The following is a 13,495-nucleotide window of genomic DNA, read 5'->3' as shown; positions in this document are numbered from 1 at the left end:
AACAGCAATTCCAAACCTTAAGCATGGCAATGTCCTCTCCACTCTCCACAGAGAAACCTACCTGCTTCTGAGGAGAGACCTCCAGAGAGAAGCATCAGCTTCCCCAGCCCCACACCTACAAGCATGCTTGCACCCAGCCCATCTTTGTTCTCCTCACTCCAGGTAGACGGGGTGGTTGTTCCTCCTTTTGTCTAAAGCTACTTCCATTGGAGCCCAGGACCCTCATCATGCTGCCCCAGTAAAGACCTTGTCCATTCCTCATCCCTTCTCTCCTGTATCTTCAACCTATTCATCCCTACTAGCTCCTTCCTGTCAGCATTTAAATATGCTAGAGTTCCTTTCATCTGAAGAACAAACAGGAAAACACTCTAACTTCCTCAAAGAACCATGTTTCCCTTCCCTTCATGGCCAAGCTCTTTAAGAGTCCTCTACAATGACTGCCTCTAATTTCTCAACCTCCCAGTTTCCATCCACCCCACAACCCACAGCAGTCCACTTCCACTCCTGCTAGAGTCTCTACCTGCTTCCTTGCTGCTAATTTCAAGGGAATTAAGTTAAATTCCCTGTCTGTCCTCATCTGGCTTGATCTCTCTACATCACTTAATGCTGTCAACCTGTTCTTCCTGAAATTCTCTTCCCTCTCTTCCCTCTTGTATCTGTAATCACTGGACTCCTCTCCTCATTTCTTTCCTATCTCTCTGTCCAGTCCTGTTTGGTCCCTTGCATGTAAGTGGGGAGAAAACAGAAGCCTATTAATAGAGAAGGGCCAGTGGGAACAGGAGAGAGGAGGTCTTGTTGAAGGAGGATAAAGACAGCACAGGTGGAGGCAGTGGCTTCAAAAAGCAAAATACCATGCTAACCTCCCTGCGAGACTGAAGCAAGAAGGTAAGAAAGGCAGAATGTGACAAAGACCTTGCCTAGAGGCCTCAATTCTCTCTATAATCTAGGAGGAAAGGGCGTCTGCTGCTTGGGTTGGCAGGAGCTGAGCCTTGCAGAGAGAGGTGAAGATAAGGCAGAATCCTGGCTAGAAGCGGGCAGTTGTGGTGAGCGAGGGCGGGTGAAGGGCCTGCTGAGGCCAAGTGCAGGTAGGATGCGTGCCGAGGATGGGCCCGGCCAGCAGAGTCATTCGCTGTTTCCCATCAGCACTGACTGCCCTGAGGTGGACAGTAAAGAGCAGCACAGGAGGATTCAGCCAGGGTTTGGTTCTTCTGGGCCAGTGGAGCAGAAGGCTAGCAAGGCCAGGGATTCAGGGATGCTGGTAAAGGGAGAACCCCGCTGAGCCACCAGTGGACCTGGCGGGAGGGAAGCAGTAGCCAGCAGCAAGCTGTTCTAGGTCAGAAGTACTAGCCTCTAACTGCCTAGGAGGAAAGGAGAAATCCAGAGACTGGCTGTCTCTGGGAGATGGAGGAGCAGATGCAGTGACAGAGAGTAGAGCTAGACAGAAAAGGGGAGGGGGGAGTTGAAGTGGGGCAATGGCAAGTGACCGCCAAAATCCAGGTGTGTGCTCATGCTGTATTCTTGTTTTAAATCGTATTATGGAAGTTTCAAATCTACACAGATAGAGAGAGAATGGTCTAATGATTCCCTCAGTACCCATTCCCTGGCTTCAACAATTGTTAACATTTTGTCCATCTTACTTCATCTAATCACCCCCAACTCACACTTTTGAGGAAGGGGTTGTGGGAGGCTGCAGTATATTCACACAAATCCAAGATTTCATGTTATTTCACCTATAAATACTTAAATAGGTAGAACTCAGGTTTTTAACCTGAGAATCGTTCACTGAAATAACAGTTTTAGGTAAAAGAGGAGGATAATAATAACTTGAGTGTTTAGTATATGCCAGATATTTTACACATCTTATTTAACTCTTCCAAACCCTCTAAGGTCTGTATTATTGTCATTTCCATTTTACAGATGAGGAATCTGAAGTTTTGTGAAGCTGCAAGATTTGCCTAAAAGCACTCACTAATAAATGGAGGTTTTGGGGATTAAACTGCAGTCTGTCAGACTGCAACGTCTTTTCTCTCCAGCTCAGCACTCTGCTGAATGTTGGCTGGGGGTGGTGGGTTAAGGAGACAGAAGTTACGAAGTTAGGATATTGGCTAACTTCAGTATATCTCCTAGGATTATAATTCCAAGCAATTTAAAAAAGGCTGTAATTTATGTGCCAAAGTATTTTATGAATATTAGGGGAGAGAGGTCCTGACAGGAAGGTCAATGCCTGAAATAGAAAAGAGAACAAGATAAGTGCATGGCCTGTGCCTCAAAGAACCAGGAGCTTTTGCATGTGGGTGAAGGGAGATGGTCTCCTAAGGGAGGCAGATGAAAGGCCCACACCCCACCTGACCTCACTGGGGGTAAAGGGATGAGTAACTCCAGTGGAAAGGAGGAGTGACCTACAAGGGAGAGCCTGGGTATGGTAAAAGGGGAGAGGGTGAGGTCATGCAAGGGTCAATTTGCAATGGAACATAGGGTCCAGTGGGCAGAGTGGGTGGGGAGAGAAGTTGTAGAGGGTCCATGAGGCAAGAACAGAAAGCGGGAGAAAGAGGGACAGGAGGGAGTCTTTTCAAAGTTTAATGGAAATTAAAGCAACTGCCTAGCTTCATGCTACTCAAAGTGTGGACCATGGGCCAGTGCCAGTCTGCAAGCTCTTTGTTACAGCCATGTTGAGCCAGGTACAGAAATTAAGAGGAAGGGGTGCAGAAATTTTCCACAGGCCATAGTTTTTTTGTATAGTATCGATCCATGACATATTAAAAATTTCTTAAAAATGACCCTTCACCACAGATGGCTTCAGATGTACTGGTGTATATTGCCTTATGTATTATGATGTATTCACTCTAATTTTCCATCTTGTTCGATCCAGGCCAGTGAACACTTTATTGCAATAGGCAGCTTTCTAATCTTCCCTTTGATTTTTTTTTCTTTTTCCATCAATTTTGATGAATACTGACTTCCCTATAGTCTTAAAAGAAATAGCAGCTAAAATTAATTCGGAAGAGTTAACATTTACCACTTTTTCTACAAGATTTCTTCAAAATGGAAATGAAGTTTTGTGCTTTATATTTAATAGTTACTGAATCCAGTTTTCCAAACTCTTAGTAAAAGCTTTCTCAGAATTCCAAGATTGGGGATGATTATTATAGCCTTTCCAGTAAAAGATTTTATTTTCAGACATTATTCCTTATTTTAAGAATATCACAAGTTTTTAAAAGTGACTGAACTTGGTCTAGACAGCAGATTTCAATAGTTGCTAAGAAACTAGATTAGTGCTAATCTAAGGAATATATTATTCATTTTTACTTCCATTTGTTACTATAGCACTTTAATTGCCGATAAATGTCTTTTATGGCTCTCCAAGGTGTAAAACATCTCTCCCTTAGCTAGTCACAGGAGACAGTGTTTATGTGCACCCTCCAAGCAGGCAGTATTCAGGCAGGAAGTGGCTCAAAAGAAGGAAAAGGCTTCTTGCGGCACAAACAATAGCTGGGTTTGTAAGCACAGGCCATAGCTGAGCGCTCAAGGGCAGACCAGCCACACCCACCCATGCATGAGACCTGGCCGGGCTGCCTCTGCTGATGCTGCGCACTGCGCTGATTGCCTCTTCATGTAGTAGATGATGTCATTCTGCAACCTGCTGCCACAGTCATCAGACAATCAATTCCTCAGATAAAAGATTGGTTGTCAAACCCAAGAAACTCATTTTCCACACGGCAGCCAAAATGAGCTTTTTGAAAAGCTAATCTGATAGCATCACCCCAACCTTACCCAACCTCTCCCAACCCCATTCCACTTGAAACACTTCAGTGCTTCCCAGGGCCTTTAAGATAAGGATAAAGCCCTTATAGAGCATGGAAGGCCCTCCCTGGGCTGCCCCTCCCAAGCACACTGCACTTCATGTTCAGTCTTCCCTTTCCTTTTTAAAGGAAGCCTTGCCCTGGCTCTTCCACTGCCCAAAAGCTCTTCTGTCCTCTGAGGCAACACCCATACTCACTTCCAGTCTCAGCCCTGTTCTCCTGTTAGCTAGAAGTACCTAGGTTGGTCCTCATCAAATCAATAGTACTCTTCCTGGCATTTATCACATTTGTAAGTTTATGTTTATTTGTGTGTGTGTTTGATTAAGGTCTAGTTCTCCAATAGACCGCAGCTGAAGAGGGTAGAGACTGTTCATTTTTACAAAGACTGTTAATTCTCCTGTCTAGCACAGCCCTAGTGCTCCAAGAGTGAGTATTGAAAGCATAAACTCTTAAACGTAGAATCCAAACAAGCACTCTAGGCTTTTCTATTTGTGGACAGTCTGGCCAAGACTCATTATGTAATGAGCAGTATCTTTGCCAAAGCACCGACTGGAAACTCTAGTGAGGGACCAGCAGCTGCTTCTCCATGAGCCAGTTGCCAGCTCTTACAGAGTTATAGCAGTCTTTTCATTATCAAAAATAATATACCTGCCTTACAAAAAGAAAATCCACAACTGCTAGTGCTGGTGCTGAACAAGAAAAGCAAGTGAAGTCATCTAATGCTCTCCTCCCTCACGGAGGACACACGCTATGGATGTAGTCAGGAATTGGAAGGTTAGTAATAGCTGAGATAACATGAACTCTGACTGTGGCTGAGGCTCATGCTGGTGCTCATATACTTTTCTCATTTAACCCTCTCAACAAGTCTATGTTTATCCTTCTTTTACAGATAAGGAAACAGTGAGTTTAAGTAATTTGCCCAAGGTCACACAGGTGGTAATGCAGAGAGTGGATCTGAAGCCACATTATCTAACTCATTCTGGAGCCTAAACTCTTAATCATTACCGTTGCTGCCTCTCCTGGAGAGGTCCAGAACACAGCTTCAGCAGAAATCCAGGAAGGTCCGTACTCACAGACTGAATAGTATCGCTGCATGGAGGGGCAGTGTCCCTCTTAATCTAATACTTTGAGGTTGAAATGAGACTTTACTAAAAACAGCTGAATAGCCTGCCTCCCATTTCCTCCCTTTCCTTAAATTTTCCATTTTCACTCATTTCTTAAATACAGATTGATCACCTTACTCCCGGGTTCATGAATGTTCCATGGATGCGCTTTGCTTATAGGAATACAACAAACCACTCATCCTGGCACACACACCCCCATAGTCTGGCTCAGGCTCTGCTCTCCTTTTCCACCACATCCCTCACGTAGGACCCTTGAGTAGTCTCCCAGTAAGCCCAGGGCTCACCGGCTTCCCTTCCTTGATGTGTTTCTCCCATCTTGAAATCCTGTTCATCCACAGAAGCCAGGTCAGCTTCAGGAACAAATCATGTATAGAGTGACAACGAATACTTCTGTTACAGATTGAGTATCTCTCATTCCAAAATCTGAAATCTGAAGCACTCCAAAGCCCAAAACTTTTTGAGCACCAACGTGACACCACAAATGGAAAAGTCCACACCTGACCTCATGCAGCAAGTCACAGTCACACAACACACAGTTTGTTCAGCGTCCCCTAGGGTAAAATAAACTTACCTCAGGCTACGTGGGTAAGGTGTATATGAAACATAAATCAATTTTGTGTTTAGGCTTGCGTCCCATCCCCAATATCTTACATTATATATATGCAAATATTTCAAAATCAAAGAAATCTGGCCGGGCGCATTGGCTCACGCCTGTAATCCCAGCACTTCAGGAGGCTAAGGCAGGTAGATCACCTGAGGTCAGGAGTTTGAGACCAGCGTGGTCAACATGGTGAAACCCCGTCTCTACTGAAAATACAAAAATCAGCTGAGGGTGGTGACACATGCCTGTAATCCCAGCTACTCGGGAGGCTGAAGCAGAAGAATCGCTTGAACCCGGGAGGTGGAGGTTGCAGTGAGGCAAGATAACACCACTGCACTCCAGCCTGGGTGACAGAGCAAGACTCCATCTCAAAACAAAACAAAAAAAATCTGAAATCCAAAACACTTCTGGTCTCAAACATTCTGGATAAGGAATACTCAACCTGTATTTTTAAATAATTCCAAATTTAAGTCCCATACTATTCAAGTATGGCTGGAGGAAAGATTAATTGAAAAGGTAAAAGCCTTTAGCAAACATGAGTCTTAAGGTTTTAAGTTGTAGATTGAAATTCAAATTAGGAGAGAATATTTAATATCACCTCTAGTGGTTTGTTTTTTATCAATAACTCCAAATCTACCAGAAGGGCTTTGCAGCAGTTTTCTCAAAGTGTAACAAATTCTACTTTGTATATCATCTCTTCATGTTTAATTATAAGGATTTGAATTTACAGTACCAGTTAATCAGTAATTAGATAGTAGTGTACCAAAAGAAATTAAACAAAGATAAAAACAAAAACACAACTTAGCACAAGGCCATATCATCTGGTAATGTTTCATGTAGCATGATTAAAATATTCCCTGAGAAATGCAGGTTAACTGAGTCATTGTGATGTATTCCTTTGACTTTGTTGTTGTTGTTAGTGATTTCCAGTGCCAGCAGGAAACTTAAAGGTAATCCAAATCCAAAAACACTCTGATTATACTAATTATTCCTTTTTTCATTCTTCATTGTAAATCTCTTTATGATGCTCAATAATTATTTTGAAATGTGGTAGATTTTCGCAATGCAAAATAAATGTATATTTTATAATGATGCATTCTGTATTGATTGTCATATTTTAAAAAACACATAAATCAGTATTTGAGTTAATTATCAATTAGACCTCTAAAGCAAAATGTTCACCTTAGGTGTGGAAAATCAAAAAAGATACAAAGCAGATTGAGAGAGGGGCAAAAAGGTCCCTGAAACCAAGATGTAGAAGACGGAAAAAGGTTGTTTAGCAAGTCATTGTAAGAATCAGGGGAGGGGGCGAGGGGACCCTCTCCTTACCAAATCATGTCATCCACCTATACCAGGTGCACGGGCCTCCTATCCTGGTTCTTAAACCTTTGGTTAGTAAGGGAATAAAAGTGGACTGGCCGTTGGAAAGAGAAGTCAACAGCCCTCCTAATTCAGTCTTGGAAGAGATGTGGGCAGCAGCCAGCTCAGGTGTGCCCCACTCTGGGTGATCCTGGAGCTGGGCTCTGGGAAGGGCAGACAGTTGGAGGAGCCCCAAGGTAGATTAGTGGATATGCAGCAAGCCCCAACTTATCCCTTCTGTGACCAGCGTTACATGGGCAGATTGAGCCAACAAAACACTCAGAATTACCTGAAGGTGCTTTGCATTCTTTCCCTGGTGCCATTTCAAGAGGCTTTGTCTGTTTTAAGAAAATGGCTTTACCTTTACTCCCAAGTACAGGGATCTTGTAAACTGTGAATACTGTAAAATCTTTAAATGGTATGCCAAATGAATGAACAGTTTTTTTTGCCTCTAAGTGTATGAGGTTGTCTTGAAAACTTTGTATGGAGTGGATTTCATTGTGCACTCTTAAGCTTGTTTTACAGAAGTATTTTAATTGTCAGCCTCTGAAACAAGTAATTTGTCTTTTGATAGAAGAATTTGCTAAAAAAGAGCATAAGGTGCTTTGAGAAGAATTATTGAAGAAAATTTCAAAGATTTCCATCTGTTGGTACCTTGGATTGAAAGAATAGGCTTTGTTTAACAATTTAGTATCATGGGTGGACATCAGAGAGCCAAACTGTAACAATTTTTGTAACTTCATGATGAAATTAATTGAGCAGCCCCCCAATAATTGGGAACCATTTGTTTTTTTCTCCAATTTAAGAATTTCTCTTCCCACTGTTTTGTGAAGCAGTGCTATGAAGTTTCTATCTCTAAGAGTTCATTGCTTTTACAAATTAGACAGCACACCTGTGAATGAAAGCCACATTTGTCAAAGTGACAATTCATTTGTGGATATGGCTTATTAATCCTCTGTTGGGCTTCTTCAACTGTTCTCTAATTTGAAAATGTTCGTCTCTCAGGAGGTGGTACAATTTATTTGATTTCATCGTACGACACAAACTTTTGCCTCTCAATTTTACCTCCTTTATTGAAATAAGCTTAAACAAGTTGACTCCGGTCACCATGATCATAATCTTATGAACCTTTATTCAGGGTTAACTGGCCAAAATTAATGAACCAGAGCAACCTCTTCATCTCAGTGAATGATTACCAGTGGCTCTTCACTTTAACAACATGGTAACTATTCCCATGACCTACTCTTTCTATAGTAAGTAGTTTTAAAAAATTTTTTTAAAGCTCAGGAGTTCAAACACCCCTAGTTGCATTTCTCCTCCAGCCTCTCCCATCTCAGTAAATGGCTCTAGTTAGTGCTTCAGCCAACACCTGACAGCCTTCCTCGCTCCCTTTTGCTCATCTCCCATGTCCAAGTGCATCAGCCAGTCCTGCTGGGTCTCCTGCCACTGTCCCCACCCTAGTCCAAGCTCGCCTGGACTCCTAGCAGTCATCTCCTAAGTGGCCTCCCTCCTTCTATTCTACCTTCTCTAAGATCCATTCTCCATATAGCAGCTCAGCTAATTATATTACAAATATTCATCATATTACTTCACTAGGCCTGCTTAAAGCCTCCCAGGGACTTCCCATTTCACTTAGAATAAAATTAAAACACCTTCCATGGCCACTGGACCCCGTCTGACTAGCTCTGCACCGCTCTCCCCTTCTCACACTCTAGGATCAGCCTTTAAACATTCCCGCACATTCCTGCTGCCATGCCTTTCTGCAGGCTGCTGCCTCTGCTTGGGATGTACTTCCCTGCCCCTCAGGACAGACTCTCCCTGACCTTCACAGTTCACCTCAGACGTCACTGCCTCAGAGAAACATCTGATCACCTTAGATGCAGCCCCTACAGGCAGGCACTGTCACGTTAGCCTGTTTATGCGCTTCATAGCCCTTGTCACTATCAGAAATGACTTTGTTCCTCCTAGCTTGTTTGTTTCCTGATAAGTGTGTTGCTTCCCACCGTCCTCTAGGCTCCATGAAAGCAAGAACCTTGTCTGCTGTTCACCTCATATCACTCGTGGCTAGAACAGAGTCTAGCCCACAGCACACTCTCAATGAACAGTTGTTAGATGAAGTATGGATGATGGAATCCTTGTCTTCCTAATACTGTATGACTTTGACTGAAACACTTCACTTCATGGGCTTCAGCTTCCTCATCTATAAAATAAAGCTAACAGAACATCGGTTGTTCATGGGGATAAGTTAATGGAGTAAATGCGTGACAGCGTGTCACACCTTGTGTGGCCCACAGCAGATGCAGAGTGAACAGTCACCAGTGTCCCTTCCTGTTTTACAGGAAATCTTCAGAGGAACTAGACATGGACAAGGTGACAGCAGCAATGGTACTAACCAGCTTGTCGACTAGCCCTTTGGTTCGAAGTCCTCCCGTGCGGCCGAACGGTAAGCCCAGGATATGGGACTTAGGGAAGGGCCCCTTGACACCAAGAGCAGGGCCTTTCTTTGAGATGTCTCATTCCTGTCAAGCGCTATGAACCACTGACCCTCACCCATTAGCAGGAAGCAAAGAGAAACGTGGAAGAAGTCGAGGCCCCCAGAGCTGTCAGCCCCCTCTTCATCTTCCCAGGGAGCCCACTGCTTCTCATTCACCCATCCCTCCATTCAACTCACTTTTATTGAGCTCCTTTGTTTTCTGCCTTGCCAGGACGTCTTTGCAGTACTTGTGTCCCTTTTTTCCCAGGTAAATGAAGATTGAGCTAATGAATTATTTTCCCTAGCATTATTTCTGTTTGACTGGGGAGGCAGTTGGATCAAAGAACTCTCAGATTAAATAATTTTTAAAAACATTTTCTCAGACTCCTTAATCAAATAGAATTATTTAGGTCATTCATTTATTCCACACACATTTATCAGGTACCATGCTAGATGAATTGAATACCTCATTGAAAAAGTATCCACACTCCCAGGTAGTATACTATCTCTTTGGGGAAGAAAGACCATCAATCATAGCCATATTAGTGGCTAGCATTTATTAAGCATTACTATGTGTCAGTAAACAAATACTATGCTTGCCTTATCGCCTGTAATTCCCACAACAATTCTATGAGGTATTATTATCACTATTTTACAGATGAGTAAACTAAGGCTCACAGAGATTAACTGGCAGAACTGAAATTCTCCATATCTTTTTGATTCCAGATTTATTCTCTTAATCATGATATGATTTTGTCTCATATAATCCAATACAATAAATAAGGAGGTCAGGCAGTAGGAGGTGAAGTTGGAGAGACTGGGAGACCTATCAGGAGGGGTCATTTATGCCTGGCTAGGAGTTTGGACTTTATGCTGAGGCTATGGGAGCACTATTAAAGTGATTCTAGCACTGCAAAGTTATGATTAGGTTTATCAGCCAAAGGAAAAAAAAAGATCTTGGTGGTCACAGTGCAGGTAGATACGACATAATCGAGAAATGTGAAGAATGCAGAATCAAGAGTTTGGTGCTGGACAGAGAGAGTGAGCAGGAGGGTGTGTCAAGGATGACTTCCAGGCAGTTGGTGTGCTTCAGCAAGGGGAGGACATTCACTGGGGCAGGTGACAGACGCACAGGAAGAGATGTATTGGCAAATGTTTGGTTCAAGAGCTGAAGTTGCTGAAGAAGACAATAGGAAACATGTTTAATAGGCAGTGCCTGAGGATCATTCAAGGGGCAACATCTGGTAGAGATTTGGGCACATCTTGGGAGAGAGATCTGGGCTGAAGGTACAGAATTAGAAGGCAACATTTGGAAGCCATGAGAGTAGATGAGATCATCATGAGAGAGTTATGTAAAAGCAGAGTGAGAAGAGAAGATGGCCGAGGAAGGAAGCAGTGAAGCTCACCATCATGCAAGGGATTGGCAGTGGGAAAAGAGCCGAGGAAGACCCTGAGGTGACCAGAGAGGTAGAGGAAGACCAGGAGAGTGTGGTTTCATGGAAACCAAGGGAAAAGCATGTTTTAAGGAGAAGTGTCTGATGCTTCAGAAGGTCACGCATTAAAAAGACTGAGTTTTCCATCAAGAAGGTGGTCACTGGTGGCTTTGTCAAGAGCACTCCCCAAGGGAGAAAGCCAGTTGCAGATTGCAGTTCACTGAAATGTAATGCACTGAGACCACTGAATGAGACTTAGGATCAATGAAAACCTTCTCTCAAAAACCAGCATGGTCAATGATGAGATTAAGATATGGTTCACACACAATTTGGTTTTAAGCATGAGGTGTTAAAATAAATTTGTTGAACATACATTGAGGCCTTACCAAAACTTACTCCAACCTCATTATAAGAGGGAAAGAATGATTAAGATGCTAGGAATTCAAATTAATGTCATGAATCAGTATTGCCCAACAACATCATGATTCATCAAGCTGGGATAACACTTCCTCTTTTTTTTTTTTTTTAATTTGAGATGGAGTCTCGCTCTGTCACCCAGGCTGGAGTGCAGTGGCACTATCTTGGCTCACTGCAACTGCCGCCTCCTGGGTTCAAGTGATTCTCATGCCTCAGTCTCCCAAGTAGCTGAGATTACTGGCATGTGCCACCACACCCAGGTAATTTTTGTATTTTTAGTAGAGACAGGGTTTCACCATGTTGGTCAGGCTGGTCCCGAACTCCTGACATCAGGTGATCCGCCTGCCTTGGCCTCCCAAAGTGTTGGGATTACAGGTGGGAGCCACCATACCTAGCCGACACCTCCTCTTTATATAGCAGTAGAAAAGTTGCTCTTGAAATGGGCCTGACTACTCCCATTCAGTGACCTGACTGCTCTTCTGGGGGGTCTCTGGCAAATGGGTACTCTGATTTACCTTTCTCACTTTGGCAGTGCTAAAGAAGGATTATAGTAAAGGCAAAACTATAGTCAGGTATGGTAACACGCCTGTAGTCCCGGCCTAGGATTTTGGGGTTGCATTGAGCTTATGGTGCCACTGCACTTCAGCCTGAGTGACAGAGCAAGACTCCAACTCTAAAAAATAAAAAATTTTAAAACCCTGGAAAACCCCCAAGACATATTCTAGGGAAAAGGAATTGTAGAATTTCATGGAATCCTTCGAGGAAAAAGAAAAGTGTATTTTAAAGTAATCATTATTTTTACCATTGGCTTCATTTTTTAATTGAGAACATTTTTAGTGTTCCTTTGTACTTAAAGGTCAGAATTAAAATAAACCTTTTGGCTCTTCAATGCAAACTTTCGTTAGCACAGTAATAAAGTAATTCAGTGCTCATTTATGGTTTAAAAACTAACTACTCAACTAATAACCCCAAATTGTCTGCTGTCTCTCATTTAGTCTGTAAGAAAAAGCAAATTCTTAAATAGGGGAAGCAATTTATTATAATGAAGGCTTTTTTTTTTTTTAGGAAAAAAAGATTTTCTCTAGAATTATTGCACATCAATGAGTTTTTGGAAACTGTTGTGATCATTTTCTGTGCCTAAAAAGGATCATTCTATCAGGAAGTGAGTCTGCAAAGAGGGTGAGAGTCCAGCAGTGCCTGTCTCCATTCTTGACAAACAGAGGTTTAATATAAGGAGGCTCTGTCCCCTAAGAATATTATAAATCAGACCTGACTTTTTTTCTGAGAAAAATCATTTCTATATCACTTATAGTCCTTCTGACTAAATAGTCTTTCTAAAGGAAATGTCATTCACAAATCAGTAAGCAAATTCACTTTTGGCATTGACATGAAGCCATGTAACCACACTGTAATAATAGTTGGTTTTCAAAATAAATTCAGTGCCTCATACTTAACATGATTATACATCTAGCACCATTAGCTTTATTTTATTTTACAAATGCATACTACAGTATATTTGTAAGCCACCCGGGCCTGCCAAGGGAGTTTTTCACACTAAGTAAAATCATCAAGCCTTATATTATGCTCTTCTTGAACTCCTGTTGTACTAAATGGAGCTTTCTTATTTACAATAGGCAAATCTAGTCTGGTGAGCGTATCAGTCTCTGTGTAGACTGCAGGGAGTGAGATGCTAGTTTGGTTTTGTTGATGCTGGCAAAGCATGAGACTGCATAAATGACCATTTCATTCTAAAAGAACCTAGCTGTAATGAGATGGGTAGTTTCTCCTATTTCAACTTAAAGCTTCACTCCTCTAACTTAACTTTTTGCTTGACATAGTTGAGGAATATGGTAGAAATCCATAAATAGGTAAAGGTAGTTATGAAATCTCCCCATGAATGATAATCTACCATTTGTCTTCACTCCATTACTAATTACACAGACATTAACAGTATTTTTTTAATGAGGCATTTGGGGATGTTTTTTCCTCGTAGTTAGAACATAGTTTTAATATATTCAAAATGCACATAAATATGGAGGAGAAATTATCCAAAAAAAAGTAAAATTTATATAAATGCTAATTAAGGTCGTGCATCTTGAAAGGTAAAGCAAATCTTCAGTGATTAAAAGAGCACCCAGAAGACTTTTTTTTTTTTTTTTTTTTTTGAGACAGAGTCTCACTCTGTTGCCCAGGCTGGAGTGCAGTGGCACCATGTCAGCTCACTGCAACCTCCGCCTCCCAAGTTCAAGTGATCCTCCTGCCTCAGCTCCCCCAGTAGCTGGGATTAC

General features: G+C 42.2%; 1 protein-coding gene across 4 annotated transcripts in view, besides 2 other annotated features; it reads left to right on the top strand.

Moving 5' to 3' along the window:
• ZNF704 (zinc finger protein 704) overlaps positions 1-13,495 on the top strand; it is a 255,969-nt gene that overhangs the window by 182,089 nt on the left and 60,385 nt on the right. For all 4 annotated transcript variants that reach the window (XR_928797.3, XM_017013725.2, NM_001033723.3 and 1 more), the window contains exon 3: positions 9,224-9,327. Coding sequence is in view for 3 of the 4 variants with exons in the window: in XM_017013725.2 (XP_016869214.1) it covers positions 9,224-9,327 (104 nt within the window). In the remaining variant the exon portion in view is untranslated. The remainder of the gene's footprint in view (positions 1-9,223; positions 9,328-13,495) is intronic.
• Positions 3,052-3,551: an enhancer, noted in NCBI's record as "H3K4me1 hESC enhancer chr8:81611015-81611514 (GRCh37/hg19 assembly coordinates)". NCBI's record gives its function as "activates a minimal SCP1, AML or CMV promoter by ChIP-STARR-seq in primed H9 embryonic stem cells {active_cell/tissue: H9 hESC(primed)}" and the evidence as "EXISTENCE:reporter gene assay evidence [ECO:0000049][PMID:30033119]".
• Positions 3,552-4,053: an enhancer, noted in NCBI's record as "H3K4me1 hESC enhancer chr8:81610513-81611014 (GRCh37/hg19 assembly coordinates)". NCBI's record gives its function as "activates a minimal SCP1, AML or CMV promoter by ChIP-STARR-seq in primed H9 embryonic stem cells {active_cell/tissue: H9 hESC(primed)}" and the evidence as "EXISTENCE:reporter gene assay evidence [ECO:0000049][PMID:30033119]".

Source organism: Homo sapiens, chromosome 8 (genome assembly GCF_000001405.40).
Source record: "Homo sapiens chromosome 8, GRCh38.p14 Primary Assembly".
Lineage (NCBI taxonomy): Eukaryota > Metazoa > Chordata > Mammalia > Primates > Hominidae > Homo > Homo sapiens.
Note: the sequence above shows the minus strand (reverse complement) of the source record. Positions and strands in the feature narration are given on the sequence as shown.